At 61.5% G+C, this 18,918-nt stretch overlaps 1 protein-coding gene across 58 annotated transcripts in view, besides 2 other annotated features; it reads left to right on the top strand.

Annotated features, from left to right (window-relative positions):
• RBFOX3 (RNA binding fox-1 homolog 3) overlaps positions 1 to 18,534 on the top strand; it is a 576,227-nt gene extending 557,693 nt beyond the window's left edge. For 17 of the 58 annotated variants that reach the window (NM_001385838.1, NM_001385842.1, NM_001350453.2 and 14 more), the window contains 10 exons: positions 1,091 to 1,228; positions 3,753 to 3,806; positions 4,625 to 4,717; positions 6,235 to 6,295; positions 10,134 to 10,187; positions 10,455 to 10,587; positions 11,187 to 11,226; positions 12,305 to 12,366; positions 13,350 to 13,428; positions 16,994 to 18,534. In NM_001385838.1, coding sequence (NP_001372767.1) covers positions 1,091 to 1,228; positions 3,753 to 3,806; positions 4,625 to 4,717; positions 6,235 to 6,295; positions 10,134 to 10,187; positions 10,455 to 10,587; positions 11,187 to 11,226; positions 12,305 to 12,366; positions 13,350 to 13,428; positions 16,994 to 16,996 — 717 coding nt within the window. In that variant the 3' untranslated portion in view covers positions 16,997 to 18,534. Of the gene's footprint in view, positions 1 to 1,090; positions 1,229 to 3,752; positions 3,807 to 4,624; positions 4,718 to 6,234; positions 6,296 to 10,112; positions 10,188 to 10,454; positions 10,588 to 11,045; positions 11,227 to 12,304; positions 12,367 to 13,349; positions 13,429 to 15,237; positions 15,933 to 16,993 lie in introns of those variants that run through there. The other 41 variants (NM_001385807.1, NM_001385814.1, NM_001350451.2 and 38 more) reach the window with 13 other exon arrangements.
• Positions 3,801 to 4,786: an enhancer, noted in NCBI's record as "H3K4me1 hESC enhancer chr17:77099175-77100160 (GRCh37/hg19 assembly coordinates)". NCBI's record gives its function as "activates a minimal SCP1, AML or CMV promoter by ChIP-STARR-seq in naive H9 embryonic stem cells {active_cell/tissue: H9 hESC(naive)}" and the evidence as "EXISTENCE:reporter gene assay evidence [ECO:0000049][PMID:30033119]".
• Positions 9,055 to 9,768: an enhancer, noted in NCBI's record as "H3K4me1 hESC enhancer chr17:77094193-77094906 (GRCh37/hg19 assembly coordinates)". NCBI's record gives its function as "activates a minimal SCP1, AML or CMV promoter by ChIP-STARR-seq in primed H9 embryonic stem cells {active_cell/tissue: H9 hESC(primed)}" and the evidence as "EXISTENCE:reporter gene assay evidence [ECO:0000049][PMID:30033119]".

Raw genomic sequence — 18,918 nt, 5'->3', positions numbered from 1 at the left:
TGCCTGTCGCCACCGAGGGACTCTCCTGTACCCTGGTGCTCCTGTGCCACCCACCCGCCTTGCCAGTGGGCTGAGCGGGAAAACAAACAGCCTGCGAGGCTGGCACCTGCGGTTTGGCTGCATCCATGGAACTGGCCTGTAGAGGCCCTTGGGCCTGGGCCTAGGTCGTGATGAGCTAATGGCCACCTCGGACAGTCACCCGTGCATCCACCCGGCCGATGCTGATGAAGCACCTGCCACATGCCTGGAGTTCCTGCTCTGTGGATACAGCCAGGACCAAGCCAGACTGAAGGCCAGCCTTGCCGTGAGCTCACGGCCAGTCCACTGGAGAAGACCACGCAGGAAAAGCCTCACACAGGCCACACTGCGCTGCCTCGGGCGACACCCCTGCCTTCTCACAGCGAGCTGGGGGCCAGGTGGCTTTTGTTTCCTGAGACCCAAGTCTTTGGGAGCCCATCTGCCCACCAGTATTTGGGTCCAAATGGGGGCTATAGAGGACTGGACTTGGCCACGCCCTGCCTTGGGAGAGGCTTCTGGAGGTGAACCCCAAAGGTTCTGAGTGGCAGCAGCAGGCTGGAATAAGCAGGAGCATGGCAGGGATGGGGGACACGAAGGGCAGCACCTTCGGACAGGCGGACCCTCGGGCCAGGCCGACATCTGTCTGCAGTTCACCACTTCATCATCAGGACTTGAAAGACAGTGGGGTCCTCAGGCTCCCAGAACTGCCTTGAGATGTCAGTGGGGCTAAGAGACCGTGGAGGTTCAGCCTCTGTGGACAGGCCTGGGCTGCGGGAGCGGGGAACAGAGCAGGCCAGGAGGCCTTGCACTGGGATGGCGGGAGGGAGGCGGCCTCACCTGCACAGTTTGGGCGAAGGCCTAGAGGTGGGGCCTCTCTGTGTGAGGTGCCCCTGTGCTGTATCTCATGGGAACCGTCTGCCCAGATTCTGCCAAGGATCCCAGCCCAGGGATGGGGGAGAGGCCCAGAAGGGTGGGGAGAATCTGGCCTTTAGACTCTGCCGACCCTTTAGCAGAGGGGATGGGCAACCCCGCACACAGAGGCAGCCTCCACAGCCCAGTCCTCTCCCTGCAGCAGACAGACGAGGCGGCACAGACGGACAGCCAGCCGCTCCACCCCTCCGACCCTACAGAGAAGCAGCAGCCCAAGCGGCTACACGTCTCCAACATCCCCTTCCGGTTCAGGGACCCCGACTTGCGGCAAATGTTCGGGGTGAGTGTGCGCGGCCCCACCCATCCTGCCCTCCACACCTGCCCCAGCTCCAGGGTGGCGCCCACAGGCCCTGCCTTCCTGCCGACACCTGTTCCCCCGGGTTTCCTGCCTCCCACTGCGCAGGGAGCCTCCGGGGCCCCAGGATTCCTTCCCTCCTGGGCCCAGCCCTGCCCTGACCTGAACCTGCTGGGACGGTGGCGGGGAAGAGGAAGGCCTCAAGCTGAGGAGTAGGGGGATCTGTTGCGGCTGCCCCTCAAACCCCACCCCTCCTGCTCCCAGCCAGAAATCCACCCATGCCCCCCAGACCACCTGAGCTCAGGGGTTTCCTAGAGTACCTTGGGACCTCGCAGCCAGTTTGGTTATGACCGCCCTGTTCCCACATTCTGGCTCCTGTCTCCTCGCAAGAGGGTACCTGGAGGGGCAGCTCAACCTCCCATAGAGCAGCAGCCCCAGCCCTGGCCTCTCTTGTGTGCCCGGGGGCCGGGCAGTCAACCTCTCCGGGCCTGTGTCCCCCGGGCCCCCAGGTGGGGAACTTGGAACCGGATGCACAGTCAATGGGAAGTGAAGCCCCTGCTGGACTCCGAGGGCCTGTTCCGGGTTTTGCACTGTAGGCTTCAGCCCCGTGGTGGGGTCACCGTGAGAACGTGCAGGGCTGCCCCTGGGTCCTGGGTCACTTTGTTGTTATTGGACTTGAATGCGCCAGGCAGGTGTTGATGCCTGCAGGGGGCTGGGGCTGCCGAGTGGTGGGTGAGCGGCAGCAGCTGGGTGGCTCAGCCCAGGCTCCCAGGCCTGCCCTGGCCACAGAGGACCACGCAGCCCGGCCGTGTTTCTTCCCTCCCTCCAAACTTCTCTTCCGCCTGCCTGCCACGGTGCCCACCCCACCTCTGCTGCGCAGGTAGACAGCCTCTGGCTCCTGAATCCCAGCCTCTCCCCTCATGCCACCCTGACCCAGCTGGGATTTGTCAGGCAGACTGGAAGCACCTCTGGCAGCCCCAGGGTGGAGAGGTCCCCGTTCACCTACCCCCTGACGTGATCCCTAGAAGTCCACTCCCCGTCTCAGGAGCCCGGCCTGGTTGGATTTGCAGTCTAGACTCATTGGAGGGCTGGCATGACTTAGAATCATCAGATGGCAAGGACTCTGTCCCTTCTCGACTCTGGGTCCTGAGCAAGCTGCCAGGTTTCTCTGGGCCTGGGGCTGCCCCTTAATAGCAGCTGACATTTTGGAGCTCTGGCTGGATGCCCCCTGCAGGGGACCTGTTTACATACACTCAGTCCCTGCAGGACGGGGACACCATCCCCTGTCAGCTCCCTGGGTCCCTACAGGACAGGGGCACCATCCGCCATCAACTCCCTGGGTCCCTGCAGGATGGGGACACTGTCCCCCATCAGCTCCCTGGGTCCCTGCAGAACGGAGGTTACTGTCCCCCTCTTTTCAGCACCTGGCAGAGTTGGGATTTCATTGCTGTCTGGCCCCACTGGGGCTTGCTGCACCCCCCGCCTCCAGGACTGTGTGGAGGTGACTGGGAAACCCCCATCAGTTGCCTGCACTGCAGGCTTCAGGACAGGCCCTGGGGACCTCAGAAGTGTTGTTCGGGGCTGTTCACAGGCTCATGGTCTCAGTACCAGTGAGAGAGACAGGGCTGCCCCATGGGGACTATGGCCAACAATGGGAGGGAAGAAGGCAGCTAGAGCGTCATGGCCCAGCTGGCCCAAACGACCTGAACAGTTGCTCAGCACCGCACGCCAGCACAGCCCCATGACAGGCTGTGCAGGGTCCCGGGGGCCTGGGCGGAAGACCCTCCTATGCTTCCCTCTTGCCCTCACACCCTCAACCCCATTTTCCCCCTGCCCAACCTCCTCCCCATCTCAGGGAGGCCTGAGGGTCCCATTTCCCAACCAGGGGTCCTGCTCTCCGGTGGCCTCAGTCTCCATTTCCTGACCCCAGCACTTTCTCTTCTCTGTGGCACTTTGTCCCTAATGGACACTCATGTCCCTCTGTCTCCCTCTCCCCCATCCTTTAGAGAAGGGTCTCAAAGCAGACCTTTACCCTTTAGTGTGAATTAGGGGTGGGGCAGTCATGCCTTGGGTACCCTATCCCCACTGTAACCCTTTCCAAGTGGCCATGTCCTAGCAGGGTGAGGAGGGGACACTGGTGATGTGCCTACCCCCATGCCCAGCTGGCAGCTGGAGTTAGTGTCCTGGCAGTAAAAGCTCCCCAAGGCAGAAGGGAGACACGGGCCTCCAGGAGAGGCTGGGAGAGCTGTCCCTGTCCCCACACCACACCAAGGACCCTCTTGGTGATGCCTTGGGCACCCTATCCCCACCATCGCCTTCTCCAAGTGGCCAAGTCCCAGCTGCTCCATGGCCAGGGGTGGGAGGGGGTCCCCGGTCTCCTTTCCCAAGCTGGGGGCCGAGGGCAGAGCACAGGCATGAGCGTCTCAGGAGTGGAGCGGGCAGCTGGGCCAGCAGTCTTAACCCGCACTTTCCTGTCTGCCCCACTCCCTCTTTGTCTCTGTCTCTGCAGCAATTCGGAAAAATTTTAGACGTGGAGATCATTTTTAACGAGCGGGGCTCCAAGGTGGGTGCCGCACGGAGCTGCCGCCTTACAGCGCCGGCTGTAGGTCCCGCCAGGCTAACGTGTGAAATGTGCGTTTCCTTCCTGGAGAGCTTCGCGCCCGAGGACCCCTGAGCGACACGGGTGCTTGTATTCCCCGCTCTTCCGCCCCCACCCGCCCCGCCCCCACCCCAGCTGTCTGTGTTGTTGCTGCCGCTGCCGCTTTTTCTTTCTGAGCCACCAGGACCTCTTGCCTGCACCCCAGAGCCCTGGGCCCCAGGTCCGGGCCCCACCCCCACTGAACACTTACCCCAGGGGACCACTGGCCTTGAAGCTTGAGGGAGGGGCTACAGAGAGGGCAGGCTGGGGAGGGTGTCCGGCGGAGACAAGCCCTACTCCCCTTCCAGGAAGGCACGACCCTCTACCCTGGGCTCCGAGGGTGGAGATGGGTGGGCTGCCCCTGCAGGTCCTGAAGCCCAGCCTGGGCCCCCTACCCCAAGGTGGGGTTCAGGGGGCAGGCCTGGCCTGTGGTCAGGTATGGCGTCTCTTATGTGGCTTTGGCCTGTCCCTTTGGAGATGCCGGGTGATCAGCTCAGGCTGGGCTCAGGCTGGGTCAGCAGCTGCCCCCCTGGGGCCCATACCCCTCCTGGCATCCTGCCGGTGGCCCTAGGACAGACCTCTGGGCTGCCTGCGTCTCTGCCTCAACTCACCTGACTCAACCCCTTCTCTCTCTCTCCCCACTCCCCTGCCCCCCTCCCACTCCTCTTCTTCCTCGTCTTCCTCCTCTTTCTCGCCCTGTGTCCTCCTCTCCGTGCCTGTCCTTCCCTCTCCTCTGCTCACAGGGTTTTGGGTTTGTAACTTTTGAAACTAGCTCAGATGCTGACCGAGCCCGGGAGAAGCTGAATGGGACGATCGTAGAGGGACGGAAAATTGAGGTGCTCAGATAAGTGTGCTGCGGCAGGGATGCCCCAAGATCGCCCACCTGCCCCCCAGCTCCCCCAACCAACCAGCCCTGCCACTGCCGCACCCTTCAGAGAGCCTGGCCAGGGTTCCCTGGGGTGGGAGGAAGGGTCGCACTAAGGCCAGGGTGCTCAGCTGCCGGCTGAGCCCTATCACCTGTCACCCCTTCAGGCTCACCCGAGGTCCCCTCTCCCCTGCCTCTTCCCTCCTTTTCCTAGGAGAGGCGCTGTCCCCAACCAGACACTGGAGGAGCCCCAGAAATCCTGTATTTGGGGCTTGGCAGCTTCAAGGACCATGGCCAGCCCACCCGGCCAAGGAGCCATTAATCCCCAGACCCTGCTCACCATGGAGCAGCGGCTGTCCCCAACCTGTCCCCACATGGCCCAGTCTGGGCCCTGCAGTTTGCCCCCACCTTGGCCCCACTCCACCCCTTGTTTGGGTAGAAGCAGAGGCAGCAGTGGCAATGGCCAGGGCAGAGGAAGAGACCAGGCCCCAAGGAGGAGCAGGGAGAGGGGCCCTGGGTCCCTCCCTGACACCCATCCCGCTCTGTCCCCTCCTTCCCTGCTCCCCAGGGGTCCAGAGTGCCAGTGGGCTGTGTTCCCTTGCTGCGGCCTGGGTGTCTGGAGCTGGGTACCCCAACAGGCAGGGCAGCCAAAGGGTGGCTGGAGGAGGGCTGGGGCCAGCCACCATGACAGAGCCCTCAGGCAGGCAGTGAAGGGCCTGAGAGGAGGTTTCCAGACTTCTGAAGGCACTGGCTTGGCCAGGCTGCAGCCCCACGCCCTCGGGGCTCAATGGAGGACGCAGGGGAGGCAGAACAGCCCAGACCCCTTCCTGGGACCCATCACCCCTGCTATTCTCGACTCCCTCCCACACATGCCTCGTCTTCTCCATCCCAGGCTGCCCCTGGACAGCCTCACCCAGGCATATGTGTGGAAAATAGGTGACTTCGTGCCCAGAGCCCCCCTCCCTGTCGGCCTCGTCCTCCAGGGGCACACGGGCCCCATCAGAGACCTCTGTACTCTGCAGCATTGAGGACTCTGGCCTCGGGGGAGGGGGGCATCATCCAGGAGGGGTATGTGGCCATCTTGGTACCCATGCCTAGGTGGGCCTTGGCAGCCTCAGGGAGGAGGGGGCATCCTGGAGTCCAGCCTCTTAGCTGGTTCTGGTCAGAGAGCACTCTGTGGAGAGTCCACCAGGGAGCTGCTCCAGCTGTCCTGGGGTGCCTGGGAGCCTGGGGCTGGGTTTATGGGAACAGCCACATGAAGGATACAGGCCAGCAGGCCTGGGTCTGGGGTCCTGGGCCAGGCGGGGCTTTAGCCCGTGCTGGGAGCAGTGGGGGCCAAGGCTCCCGGAGGGCAGGCAGCATGGTGGAGAGAGGAGGCTGGGGCGGGGGGTGCCGGGGGCTAACGGAGCAGGGCGGGGAGGAGTGGCCAGTGGGTCTTCCAGGAGGCTAATCCTCCCTCTTCCTCTCTCTCCTTCCCTCTTTGAACAGGTCAATAATGCCACGGCCCGAGTGATGACCAACAAGAAGACGGGGAACCCCTACACCAACGGTAAGGGGCTGGGTCCCCCCACAAGGCTGCTGGGGTCACTGGCTGGGACAGAGGCCCTGGGGGAGCTGAGGCTGCTGCAGGCTGACCTTCCTGGATCCTAGGCAGCCTCCGTCCCCAGTGTCCCAGCCCTGGGGCTGCCGCTCTGCTCCCGGTCAGAAGCGGGTGGGGCAGAAGAGGCGGGAGGAGAGCTGGGGGCCACTCACCCCTCTCATGGCCCCATACAGTCAGCCATAGCTGGAGTCTCACTTTCCCAGGCGTGCCTGGCCCCCAGAGGCCACACGTGCAGGCTTCTGATCCAGGGGGATAGCTGTGCCTTCCTGGATTAGGACTGACTTTCCCCCAGGGCCAGAGTTTGAAGGCTTCTGTGCTGAGACCTGCTGCACCGATTCCCAGTGTAAGCAGGCTCAGGGAGGGCAGTGAGGGCACGGGGGGCCTTGGATGAGCTTCTAGACCTCTCTGAGTTCCAGTCTCTTCATCTGCAAAACAGGAATAGTGACACCATCCCCCAGAGCTGTTCGATGACAAATGACACCTTTAAGCACCATGAGGAAGGGCCCGGGGGGAGGTGCTCAGATTTCGGAGGATGTGATTACAGTAACTGCCTTCCTGGGGCTTTTTGACATGGGTGGCCCTGAGGCCCCAGGCTGAGCCCTGCTGTCCACAGCAAGGGGAGACTGAGGAATCTTGTGTGTGTGCACCCCACTGCAAACGGAGGTGGCCGGTCTTCCTTGGAGATGGATCTGCCGACGCTAAGTGCTGGCTCTGGAGAAGCAGGGGGACCACTGGTGGCCACTGCGAGTCTTAACTCCATCCGGCAAGGGGCCTGCTTTGAGCAGAGCAGGCGTACGTTGGGGGCCTCCGCTCATTCCTGCCAGGGAGCAGCTTCCCACTCGGACCCCTTAGAAGCCTCAGCGCTGCCCCTAGACGGGATGGATCTCCCTGTTGCCGTGGACTTTCAGACGGTGTCACCCCCAGCCTCTCATGGCCCCCCATGTGATCGGCCATACGTGGAGTCAGGTGACAACCAGCATGGAAGCCTGGACAGGACCGCCCGATCCGCCACCTCTCCCCCGAGCTCTTCTCCTGGTGTCCGATGCTGGGGTGGGGCCGGGCCTCTGGCCTGGCCCAAGTTAGACTTGATTCTCATGGCCTCATATCCTGCTTTTCTGAGGACTTACACATCTCAAATTCTTTTTAAAAATTTGGGAGTGTTCCCACTTTGCAAGCATCCCGAGTGCGTCCTGGGTGTGACTCTTCTGTGATCTGGCACTTGGCACAGGAAGTAAAAGCGGTAGACATTTTTATAGGGTACAGGTGATCAACCAGCGGGGCTGCAAAATCTCTGGAACCAGCTGCCCACTCTGCACCCAAGGGCCACACCCACCGCTGTCTGGGCAGAAGTGAGAATTCAGGGGAGCATGGAAATCAGAACAGACCCATCTCTGAATGGCCTCGGGCTATGCGGCTCATGAGGGGCACGGAACCTACACCAGTGAAACATCAGGGAATGGAGGGAGGTGGGAACCTTTGCCCACCTTTGCAGCAAGAGCCGTTTCATCTCAATCTCTTCATCAGCCTGGGCACAGAGGGCTGCAGTGGGACGGCCCTGGGTTCTCTGCAGGTTGGCACCGAAGCCAACCCATGGGCTCTGGTGGCGAGTGCTGCGTGACTTGGCTTCAACACTACCCAACACTCTGGAATTCATCAGTTGGGGGTGGAGGTTTCCATTGTAGAAAACAAACCCACCAGGTTTGCCCAGGTGTTAACTATTTACGGTAGAAACAGGCCAGCCAGGCAGTCTCAGGCTGTCTCTGCCATCTGGGGTTCCAGACAGTGAAATGGAGGCAGCAGAGACAGGTGGAGGCTCCCAGAGAGGCAGAATTGACAGGGGAGGGCACCCAGGAAGCCAGAATCACCGGTGGAGGCATCCAGGAAGCCAGAATTGACAGGTGAAGGTGCCCAGGGCCATCTGAAGCACACATGCAGCCTCCAAGTCTCACTCGCCCAGAGTGGACCCAGAAGAGTCACTGGATGGAGCCCCGGGGAGTCTGGGCTTGGGGTCAGGGTCTCCAGGACTCTGCTCCATCATGGGCCTTCTAGTAAGAAGAGTCAGTTCTTCGGACTGGAGGTCTTCCCAGAAAACAAAACATTTCTTTCAGCCTGATGCAGTGGCTCATGCCTGTAATCCCAGCACTTTGGGAGGCTAAGGTGGCAGGATCCCTTGAGCCCAGGACTTCAAGACCAGCCTGAGCAACACAGGGAGACCCTGTCTCTACAGATAGTTTTTAAAATTAGCTGTGGGTGTAGTGGCAGGCACCTGTGGCCCAAGCTACTCGGGAGGCTGAAGTAGGAGGATCGCTTGAGCCCAGGAGGTCGAGGCTGCAGTGAGCCGTGATCGTCCACTGCACTCCAGCCTGGGCAACAGAGCAAGAAACTGTGCCCCCCTACCCCCAAAAAAAGTTTCTTCCTTCCTAACCTGGGATTTATCTTTTTGGAAGATTCCAAAGTCCCAGCAATGGCGTCCAGACACAAGGTTGTGTGATGGTGGGCCGGGGATGCGGGGTGGGGTGAAGACTTGGCCAGAGGGAGGAACATACCCCGACCCTCCGTCCTCACTGCCTCCAGTCTGCCTGCCCTGCAGTGGGGTTGTTAGAATCTGGGTCAGGGGTTCACACATGGCCTGGGCCCACTGCCACCCTCTCCAGATGTATCTCCCCAGCTGGCCAGTGGGCTCTCGTCCCTGCTGTTCCTCCCCACCCAGTGCAAAGGGACAAGGAGCCGGGCCCACGGGGCATGCTGTAGAGATAAGACCTGGGTACACTGAGGAGGGGTAAGGGGCTGGGCCTCGTCAAGAAGCCCTCCTGCCCAACCTGTCGGAATGCCTGGAGCCGGAGCCCACTGCAAGGCAGCTGGTGTCCCCCGCAGAGGCCTCCAGGTGGAGCAGGTCTTTGCTCTGCTCCTGGGTTCCCCCGGGGAGAGGAAGACTGGCCCACCTGCAGGAAGGGAGAGGCTGGGATGCCGATTACAGGCTGGGATCCCTGGCTCTGCCACTCCCCAGCTGCTGACGGGAGGTTGCTGTGCCTCTCCAGGGCTGTTTCTTCATCTGCAAAATGGGGAGGGTGTGGTGGCTCACTGGGCAGGGAGGACCCCGTGAGTTTCGAACAGTCTGTGTGGCTCACACACAGTGTTGAGGAAAACCAGCCCATCCTTATTATCATTCCCAGTCCAAATGCCCTTTCCTCCTCGACCTGCTCCCAGGCCACCCTCCCGGACAGCCGCTCTGGGGGAAGATGAGGACGGGAGGAAAGTGAGAGCAGGACTCAGCACGGGGAAGAGGGAGCAGGACGGGGACTTTGGCAGGCAGTGGGGAGAGCTTATGGGCAGAGTCCAAGCGCCTTTCCTGCAGCCTCTGGCCACCTGGAGCTCGGATGGTGGGGCTGTGCTGAGTCTGACTCCAGAAACCCTCATCCCAGCTGTGCTCAGGGGGGTAGATAACAAGTTCCACTTTCCCTCTCCAGTTCTCTTCTGGGAGGTGGGTACCCCAGGCTTCGGGGGATGACGCCCAGGGGTGAGGGTTGCTCAGGGGCAGGCTGAGGAGGATCACAATTGGGAAAGAATCCTAGCAGACCCCCAGGCAGAAGAGTCAGGAAGGAGTAGACCCTGGTGTTTTGAACTCAGCACTTGTCCGGGCAGTGTGGGAAAGGGGGGCCCGGCGCGGGGAGGCGCCCTGGGAATGTTCCCAAGGGCTCCACCGGTGTCGCTGGGGTTCCCAGGCATACGTTTTGGTGGGAAAAGGGTCGGGGAAGGCAGTGACTAGGTCTCTGTGCCTTTGTTTTAGGCTGGAAGCTAAATCCAGTGGTCGGCGCAGTCTACGGGCCTGAATTCTATGCAGGTAAAAGCTGGGGCGGGGCGGGGATGGGATGAGACCAGCTACTTGGCCCCGTGGGGCTCCGGGGGCTCTGGGGGCGGGGCATGAGGGGCGGGGCCAGGTGGGCCGTCCCCGCCCTCCCGTCGCCGTGTTGACTGAGTAGCGCTCCGGGGGCGGGGCTTGGGGAGGGGTTGGGGGCTAGGTGCGCGGGGGGGCTAGGTGTACGGGGAGGGGGTGCCAGGTGGGTCCCCTTGTGCCTCTCACACGTGTCTCGGGCCCCGTTTCCTGCAGTGACGGGGTTCCCCTACCCCACCACCGGCACAGCCGTTGCCTACCGGGGCGCACATCTTCGGGGCCGGGGCCGGGCCGTGTATAATACATTTCGGGCTGCGCCACCCCCACCCCCCATCCCGACTTACGGAGCGTGAGTACCTGGGCCGGGGGAGGCGTGGAGGAGGGGGTAGGACGGCGGGGAGGAGGGAAATGGGGAGGCCCTGCGCAGTGCGAGGGGCTAGGCAGCCTTTCCAGACCTGGGGGGGGGGAGGATCGTGGGAGCCCCAGAACTCAGCCCTGCAGCTGCCTCCATTATCTTCACCCCTATCCCCACCACGGCGGGCATCGCGGAGGTCACTGGCATTTAGGGGGACATTCAGAGCCCCAGAACCTTGTCTGGATGCTTTAATGGGGCCGTTGTCCACTCTTGAGGTCAGCGAGGGGCTTCTCTGAGCCCTCTCTGCTCCCATTCCCTGGGGTCTGGTGCCCTCCATCACTAAAGGGGTGGGGGGCACAGCTGCCTGGGGTCGGGTGGGCTATGGGCCCCGGGGTTTGTGGGAGAAAGTTGCTGATCAGCAAGGGTGTTACTCTATTGTTATACCAAAACAGGGCACTGGAGCAAACGCTTGTTAAAATGCCAGTCCCATGGGCGGGGCTGGCACCGTGCCCCCTCCCTCCTCAGCAGACACCGGAGCCGGCCTACCCCACCTCTCCAGCGTTCCCACCACTTTCTTGTCCGTTTGCTTCCAGGGTCGTGTATCAGGATGGATTTTATGGTGCTGAGATTTATGTAAGTGTAGCCCCGCCGGGAGGGAGGGTGGGATCAGGCGTTCTGTGGGTCTCAATGAGAAGTCGGCGTCTCCTCTCTCACTGCCCGCTCCTCCCATCCCATCCCATCCCACCCTTGAAGCCAGGAGGGCGAGGGTGCCACGTCTGCCCAGAGTATGGCATCCCTGAGAATCCCAGCATGGCACAGTTTGGTTGTTGGTACCCATCAAGGGAGCAGTTAATGGGCCGCCCAGCAGCCCTGTGAGCTGAAACCATCTTCCTGTGGGCAAGGCCTCATATAATGGGGGCAGTGGGACTCTGCCACGTCCCTAACCACGCTGCGGTCAGTGAGTGAGCCCCTAAGGCACCCACAGCACGGGCTGCAAGAGGGGCCAGGAGGCAGGGCCCCTGGGTGCCTGTGCTCCAGGGCCTACCCCCCTTGATGGGGTCCGGTGGCCTTTCTCCCCCTTCATGGGGCCACATGTGCTGCTTCCTCTGTCTCAGACTCACTGACGGCCACACCCCATGTACCCAGCCACCCTTCAGTCCTGGGCAGCTGCCTACAATTCAGTTACCTGCCCATTTGAGGCCAGGACATCATCTGAGCTCACGTCCTCTTGTGCCCTTTACCCTTGACCCTTCCTGGTGTCCAGGACACTATCCAGAGTCACTGTGGGTTCTCCCAGCCCCTCAGCATCCAAGTCAGGCCTCAGTGGCCTGGTGGCAGGTCTGTGAGCACCTCTTCCTTGCCAAGGCCTAGCACCCAGCCAGATGAGTCATGGGTACCCGCTAATGTGTGTGGAGTGCACAGATGGATGTGTGAATGAATGAGTGAATGAATGGAGTGGACAGGCAGACCTGCCTCGCCCTGAACTGTGCCACCTAGCCATCTGCAGTCCTCGGTCCTGTGTTAGACCAGAACTAGGTGCCCAGGCCAGGTACCACCTAATCCTTACCCAGCCGAGGCTGGGAGGCTGGGAAGGTCTGTAGTCCCTCCCAGGGCCCCACCCGCACAGGGTCTGTCTCCTCTCCCCACTCAGCCTTTCCCTGGGGAGCCCCACTAAGTCCCTCTGCTCTCTCTCCTCCCACTTACCCTGCAGGGAGGCTACGCAGCCTACAGATACGCTCAGCCCGCTGCAGCGGCGGCAGCCTACAGCGACAGGTGAGGCCGGGGGCCAGCACTGTTCTGGAGCAGGGTGGGGAGAAGATGGACAAGGATCCCTGGGGAGCTGGGCCCAGACAGGCAGGAGGCGTAACCCACTCTTCCAGGCCTGGCGGGAGTAGGGTCGGGACAGGGGAGCAGGTCTGAGTGTGGCCCTTGAGCCAGTGAGCCCCTGACTTCAGTCACTTCCTGCTTACCCCATGGGGAGGCTGTGGAAACCCCAGGTGGAGACCGCATCTCTGATTCCCAGTCCCCCCACCGCCCCCCGCAAGCCCCGTGCCCACAGTGGCTGTCTGTCTTGGAGGCAGACGCTTGAGTGCTTCCTCCTGGAGCAACCTAGCCTAGTGCCTTTCCCCTCAGACATCTGGCCTGTTGGTAGCTGAGCTCCACCACTCTGGTCTGGGGACCGCTTGTACCCCCTCCCTCCTGGCAGCCCCGGCTCCATCTCCCTGAAGTGTGGTGTACAGGGTGCCGTGGCCCAGCTCTGCTCTCTAAGGAGCTGAGAGTTCCCTGCACAGACAAACTGCTGAAGGGAAAGTCGTGAGGGACACAAGTGTCACATTCTTGGGGGCAGTGTTCCTGGTCCCTCCTCGTTGACCCTCTCTCTTCTCTTGAAACCCTCCCCAGTATTTACCACATTCTTTTTGGGGTGGAAGTTTGTTTTCCCTGCAGACGAGCTCCATGAGGACACCATCCCCCTCCACGTAGCACTGAGTGGAACACACCCCCTCCCCCCACCCCGTCAGGGTCAGCACACTGTGGGCATATTGAGAGGGTTGCCTGTTGTGTTCCAGAAGCTTCCTTCTTAACAAGAAGGAGGGGTAGGCCTTGCAGGCCTTGCAGGAGGGGAGGGTGCCTTGCAGATGGGACCTCGGTACAGGGTGCCCATGTAGTGTCTGGGAGGAGGTGGGAGGCCGTTGCTGCCCCTCACCTGCCCCCCTCCCCCACCCTCCTCCCACTCCCCCTCCCACGCTCTTCCCTAGTTACGGCAGAGTCTACGCAGCTGCCGACCCGTACCATCACACCATCGGGCCCGCGGCGACCTACAGCATTGGAACCATGGTAAGGAGCCCAGGCCCGCCCAGCCCTGGGTGCCAGTCCTAACAGCTGGGCATGGGTGGTGAGGCCCTTGGGGGAGAGGCCGAGCCCTCTGACCAATGCCTTGGTCCCGGAGACTTTGGAAGGACCACGGCCTGGATGTGAGTTAGGGTGAGGGGAGGGCTGGCCCCTCACGCCCTCTCAGTTGCGGGGAAGCAGGTTGAATGGCTGGTCAGCCCACCGTACCATCTGGTCCTCTGGAAAGCACCCCAATGTGCCTGATCCGTTTCCCTGAGCTCCCTCACTATAATAAAGTCCCGTTGAGGCCCCTCCATTCCCATTTCCACCAGGAAAACCTCAGAAACCAAACCAGGGCCGCCTCTCCTTCCCAGCAGAGGCTCCCAAGGCCCCGGGGCTGTTTCTGCCCACACCGCATACCCACGGCCCACCCGCACTGCTGCAGCCCCCTCGCATCGCATCCGAGAGGGGAGTGTGGGTTACCGGTTGCTTCTCACCAGGCTCTAGCTCCTGGCTTCCTGGGGGCTCCTGGCGTCCTGGGGAAACAGTGCCTGCTCTGCCCCAGCCTCCTCCCTCAGGCTGTGGGGTGGAAGGGGCGGGGCGGGGAGGTGCGCGGCGTGGCGTGTCTCTGTGTGTGTGTGTGTGTGTGTGTGTGTGTGTGTGTGGCCAGCTGTTGACACGTGCAGCCCAGCTCACTCTGCACCCAGAGCTGCTTCCAGCAGACACCTGCCTCCTGTACCCACTGGCCCCAGCCCCGGGGTGTGAACACGGGTTTTAGCTAGCTTGGCATCCAGCATCAAAGATGAAAACATCTTGGGAGAGTGAGGAGGGAGGAGGTTCAGAGGCAATATGGATTTTTCCCATCTTTCTTGGTTTTGATGACTCCCTCCAATTTTTTTTTTTTTTTTCAATTTTTAACGAGCCTCAGACACCCCCAGCAGCCTGTGGTGGCTGTGGGCAGCCACAGGCGCGGGTCTGGTGCGGCCCCACCCGGATGGAGGTGTGATACCCTGGCTCTTGGGCCCTCCGTGCAGCTGCAAGCTAAAAGCTTTCATTAACGCACGGAGGGTTCCCTCTTGTGTTTTCACTTTGTATTTTTAAGATTTTCTATTTTTCCCCAATTTTTCTTCTCTTGCACTTGCTGTGTTGTTCTTTTCTGGGAAAACTGGGTGGTGGGAGGGTGGGAGGCCCCTTCAGAGCCTTCCCTGACTGGAGGCAGCCCAGGACATGGGAGAGCTGGAGCATCCAGGACCCGCTCTCCCCAGTAGGACAGGGCTGGGCCTCAGGTGGGCCCAGGAGGACCCAGAGACCCCCCCAGAGAGCAAGGCTCTGAACACTATGCCCAGCAGGCTTGCCTCTCCCAGCGTAGCTGGCTTCAGTGGCCCCAGGCTCTTGAGCCAAGGCCCAGGAACCCGCCAGGAGGTCCCTCAGTGCTCTGAAGATGCCCCGTGCCACCCTGCTGGGGTGCGAGGAGGTGGGGCTCAAGCTGGGACCCCCCCTCTGCATAAGGACAGTGAGAGGCCAGGCCTGAGCCCAGAGAAGTGACCCAGACATAACTCAAGCTGTGACCTAGAAGCACTGTTGGCCATGACCCCAGAGCACCCCACACTGGCCCAAGACCACTATGTCAGAGGCAGGTCCTACTCTTCCTGTTGCCATGACAACCCAACTCCTTTCTCCCCAAGGAATATAGGGGGAAAGAAATCGAGACTTGGCTATTTCTCTTTTTGTTTTTCCTTTTTTTTTTTCTTTTTGCTTTTTCCCCTCTTCCAAAAGACGGTACTGATTGGCTGTTTTTCATCTTTGATGTTGCAGGCTAGCCTCTGCCGAGGAGGGTACAGCCGCTTCACCCCCTACTAGCAAGAGACCCAGCCCCTAACAGCATTCACACTGACTGCCTATTACACACCAAACCCAACAGCCCAAAACCAGGCACAGCCACCAGAAGACAGTGCACCCCTCCCGGTCAGCGACACGCACGGCTGGCCCCCTGCAACTCTAAAATCTATAGATTATTTCTCTCCAGCCAGTTGGTCTCCCCACCCCACCTGTGCTGGTGTGTGTGTCTTTGACCCTGGTTTTTCCTGTATGTCTGCAACCGTGATTTCCTATTTTGACTTTGTTGATGTTGTACTACCCAAGCCATTGCAGGTACGGTGTGCACACCGTGGGGTCCAGGCTGGGCCAGGAGACCAGGCAGCCCCCAACCTGGGAGTAGCGGTAGCGCCCTATGAGGGCAAGAGCCACATTTCCTGGCCTCCCAGGCTGCACAGAACAACAGAAACGCCTGGCAGGGCCTCCCCCAAAGCCACCCGACCAGCCCCGTGCCATGGCCCTAGTGTCCAGCACCCTGACGCAGGGAGGGAGGGGCTCCAGGCACCCAGTGTGGGTCTCCCCGGCCTGAGGGTGCTCCCGCAGGCCTTCACCCAGCCAACCACAGGAGTAGCCACTGCCCCTCCTCGCCCCATTCAGCTGAAACTAATATTTTTCATTAAATTTTATTGACGATATTTCTTGCCGACGTAGTCACAAGCGTGTCGCGTGGTGTGCAAACTGCTGTGGTCACGCCAGTCTCTGCGACTCCTTAGCACTGCTGCAGCAGAAAGTGGAAATGTGGAAAGGCACGTCCTGGTCGCTCCTCAGGGAGCCCCTTAGCACCGCAGGGCCAAGGCCAGGCCAGCCTTGCAAGGGGGTTGTCCTGGAGGCACAGCCTACTTTCCCTGTCCCCAAGCTTCGAAATGTCTTTATTGGGGTATATTCCGGAAGGAGGGGTCCTCAGCAGGCAGGAGAGCTGATGAGGGGCAGAATGCACCCTTGCTCAGGCCCTCCCCTGAGCGCAGGCCGGTCAGCCCCAGGTCAGTCCCCTCCCTGCATTAGGGAGACTGCAGGCAGGGCCCTGTGGCCTGCGGGCCACTCCTTCCTCAGCCCTGGGACTGGCCAGCCCGGTGCATGGCGCTTCTGGGGAGACACTGGCTGGGACCTCACTTGAGCACAGCCGTGGGCAGCTTGCTGGCCTGCCTAGGAAAAGCCAGCCAAGACAGGCACAGTCCTTTCCTGGCACTGGCCTGGGGCACACAGATCTGTACCTCCATGACAGGGAAAAGTAGCCTCAGGTTCTGAGTGTGCCACGGCTGGGCTCCTGGGGCTGGAAGGCCAGCTGGAGGGTGTGGGTTCCCCACCAGTGAGGGCTGAAGTCCTGCCGCCCACCAGGCCCTTGCCGTGGGGGGCCCGGCTCCCCCACCTCCCGTGGCCAGACCATCACCCTCTGCCATCTCATCCAGGCCGCCTCGAAGCCTGTGCTGGCCCAGCCTCTCCACTCACCCTGCCCTGCTCAGCTCTGTCTCCTCCTCAGGGCCCCAGGTGTCTCCTCCCATCCTGGGCTGCCTGGGCCCCATCCTGGGATCCACCCACACTCAGCCCTGGAAGATGAGGGTCCTGGAAACCTGGGGGGCAGGTGTGGCGGCGCCAGGACTTTAGGCCAGGGGCCCCGTGCCACGTGGTCCTGTCGCCTTCACACCTGCTGTGCCTCCCCCGAGAAGCTGCAAGTCCTGCCTTTCTGTTTCTGTTGTAGTGAAACCTTCCACCGTTTCCTTCTCGGACCATGAAGGGCAAAAACAAAAAAACAAAAAAAATCACAAAACAAAAAAAACAAAAAAAGATGTTAAGATCCAAGCAACAAAAAAAAAACCAACCAAACCAAGAGGCATCCAACCAAGTCCAAGTCCCGCGTCCTGGCCACACGCCCGCACCGAGGGAGCACGCCGGCAGGGGCGCCGAGGAGCGGCCCCAGGACAGGACGGCCCCACCGCGTCCTGGCTGGCAGCACAGTGGGAACACGCCCCTCCGTCTCAGGCAGTGGGGGAGTTGGAGGGGAAGGGGCCTCCCTTGTGGGACCCGTGGGGGGCTCTGTTTTCCATCCAGTCTTCCTTTCCCAGCCCCCAACTCCCAAGACAGACAGTGTGGAGCCCAGCGGCGGCGGAGCAGGCCCGGGCCTGAGCAGGCAGGCGCTGCTAGCAAGACTTGATCTTTGTGGCCAGCTGTGCCAGGGGGCCGGCGGGGCTGAGGGGTGCGGGCAGCTTTCATCCCAGGGGCTCCACTGGGCCCCGTCACCCTCCTGTCGCGTCCCCTGCGTCCCACCTCCCTCCTGCCCGGCAGTCCCGCCCGTGCCCCCAGCCTGGCGAGGAAGCCGTCCAACAGTAGCCCCGGGGCCAGCTCCCAACAGAAAGGGCTGACGTGGCTCCAGGACTCAGGGGCGCTCCATGGGAGGACGAAGGAAGCCCAGCCAGCCAGGAGCCACTCCTCACACCTCCAAGTGTGGCCAAGTGGGCCCTGAGGCCAAGGACTTACTTGCTCTTCCTGGCCATCTCTCCCTTTCTGGAGGAGGCCCGGGGCCTGTGTACACCAAGGCTGACCTCGTGCTGCCTGCTGGGACCCAGCCCTCCCTGCCGCTCCCCTGTGAGCCCAGTCCACCGTGGGCGCCCAGGGCCAGGGACGGGCCAGCGCCCGGCTGCATCGCGAGGTTGGGAGTCACAGTGGCTGTGGGCCTGGACGGGCACAGCCAGAGCAGGGGCCCATGGGAAGGGCAAGGGATGGGGAAGCCTGGGCCGGCCCCTTCCCTGCTCCCAAGGCAGGTGTCCAGGTGGCGGGAGCAGCACCAAGGACAGCCAGGCTTACCCGGTGGGAGGAGCAGGAGCAGAGCAGGTGGCAGGGAGGAACCCCTGGCGAGGCAGGGAGCACTGAAGTAGGGAAGCAGCAAAAAATACAGGCTCCCAACGTGGCTCCACTGTCTCATGAAGTGTCAAAAATTTAAAAATACACCTCACTTTCTATTCAGCATCAGCTATTGAAATGGAATTCTCCTTTTCTATTCCCGTTGTACATAGCCCCACGCCCTGCCTCCGGCTTTGTCCTCTGTACAGAGCCCCCTGTCCCCTCTGCTGTTCCGGACCCTTTTCTTGCAGCAGCTCAACCCCCCGACTCACTCAGATCCCCAGGACTGCAGCCGAGCCCCGGGCTTCCTTTCTTACCATTCTGTATGCTTCCAAGGTGTGACCATTCAAACTAACAGTATTATTAAGATTATTAATAAAGATTTCTTTCTTCAAACCAGGACAACTCTGTATGCTCTGGCAGCTCCCGGGCATGGTGGGTGGAGGGCATAGCGGCCCAGGGTGCAGGACGGGGGCCAGGACGGGATGCAGCCCTGCCTTGGCCTACAGCCAGGTGGCAATGGTGTCAGAAGGCCCTAGACTTTCCAGTCCCAATCCTCAAGTCCAGGCTGGTCGTCTGCATCCCACCCCAGGATAGGCTGGGTGGGTGGCAGCTCATGGCATATCTGTGCTGCCTGGCCTGCCTCTCGGACTCAGGTCGAGGCCAGCCCTGGTCCCTTCTTTCCTGGTTACAGCATGTGCTGGACACAGCGTGACCTCAGAGCAGAATGCACCCCAGGAAGCAGAAAGGTTAGAACTGGTGACCACACAGCTGTGCTTGGTCGAC

The sequence above is a fragment of the Homo sapiens genome, chromosome 17, assembly GCF_000001405.40.
Source record: "Homo sapiens chromosome 17, GRCh38.p14 Primary Assembly".
Classification (NCBI taxonomy): domain Eukaryota; kingdom Metazoa; phylum Chordata; class Mammalia; order Primates; family Hominidae; genus Homo; species Homo sapiens.
Note: the sequence above shows the minus strand (reverse complement) of the source record. Positions and strands in the feature narration are given on the sequence as shown.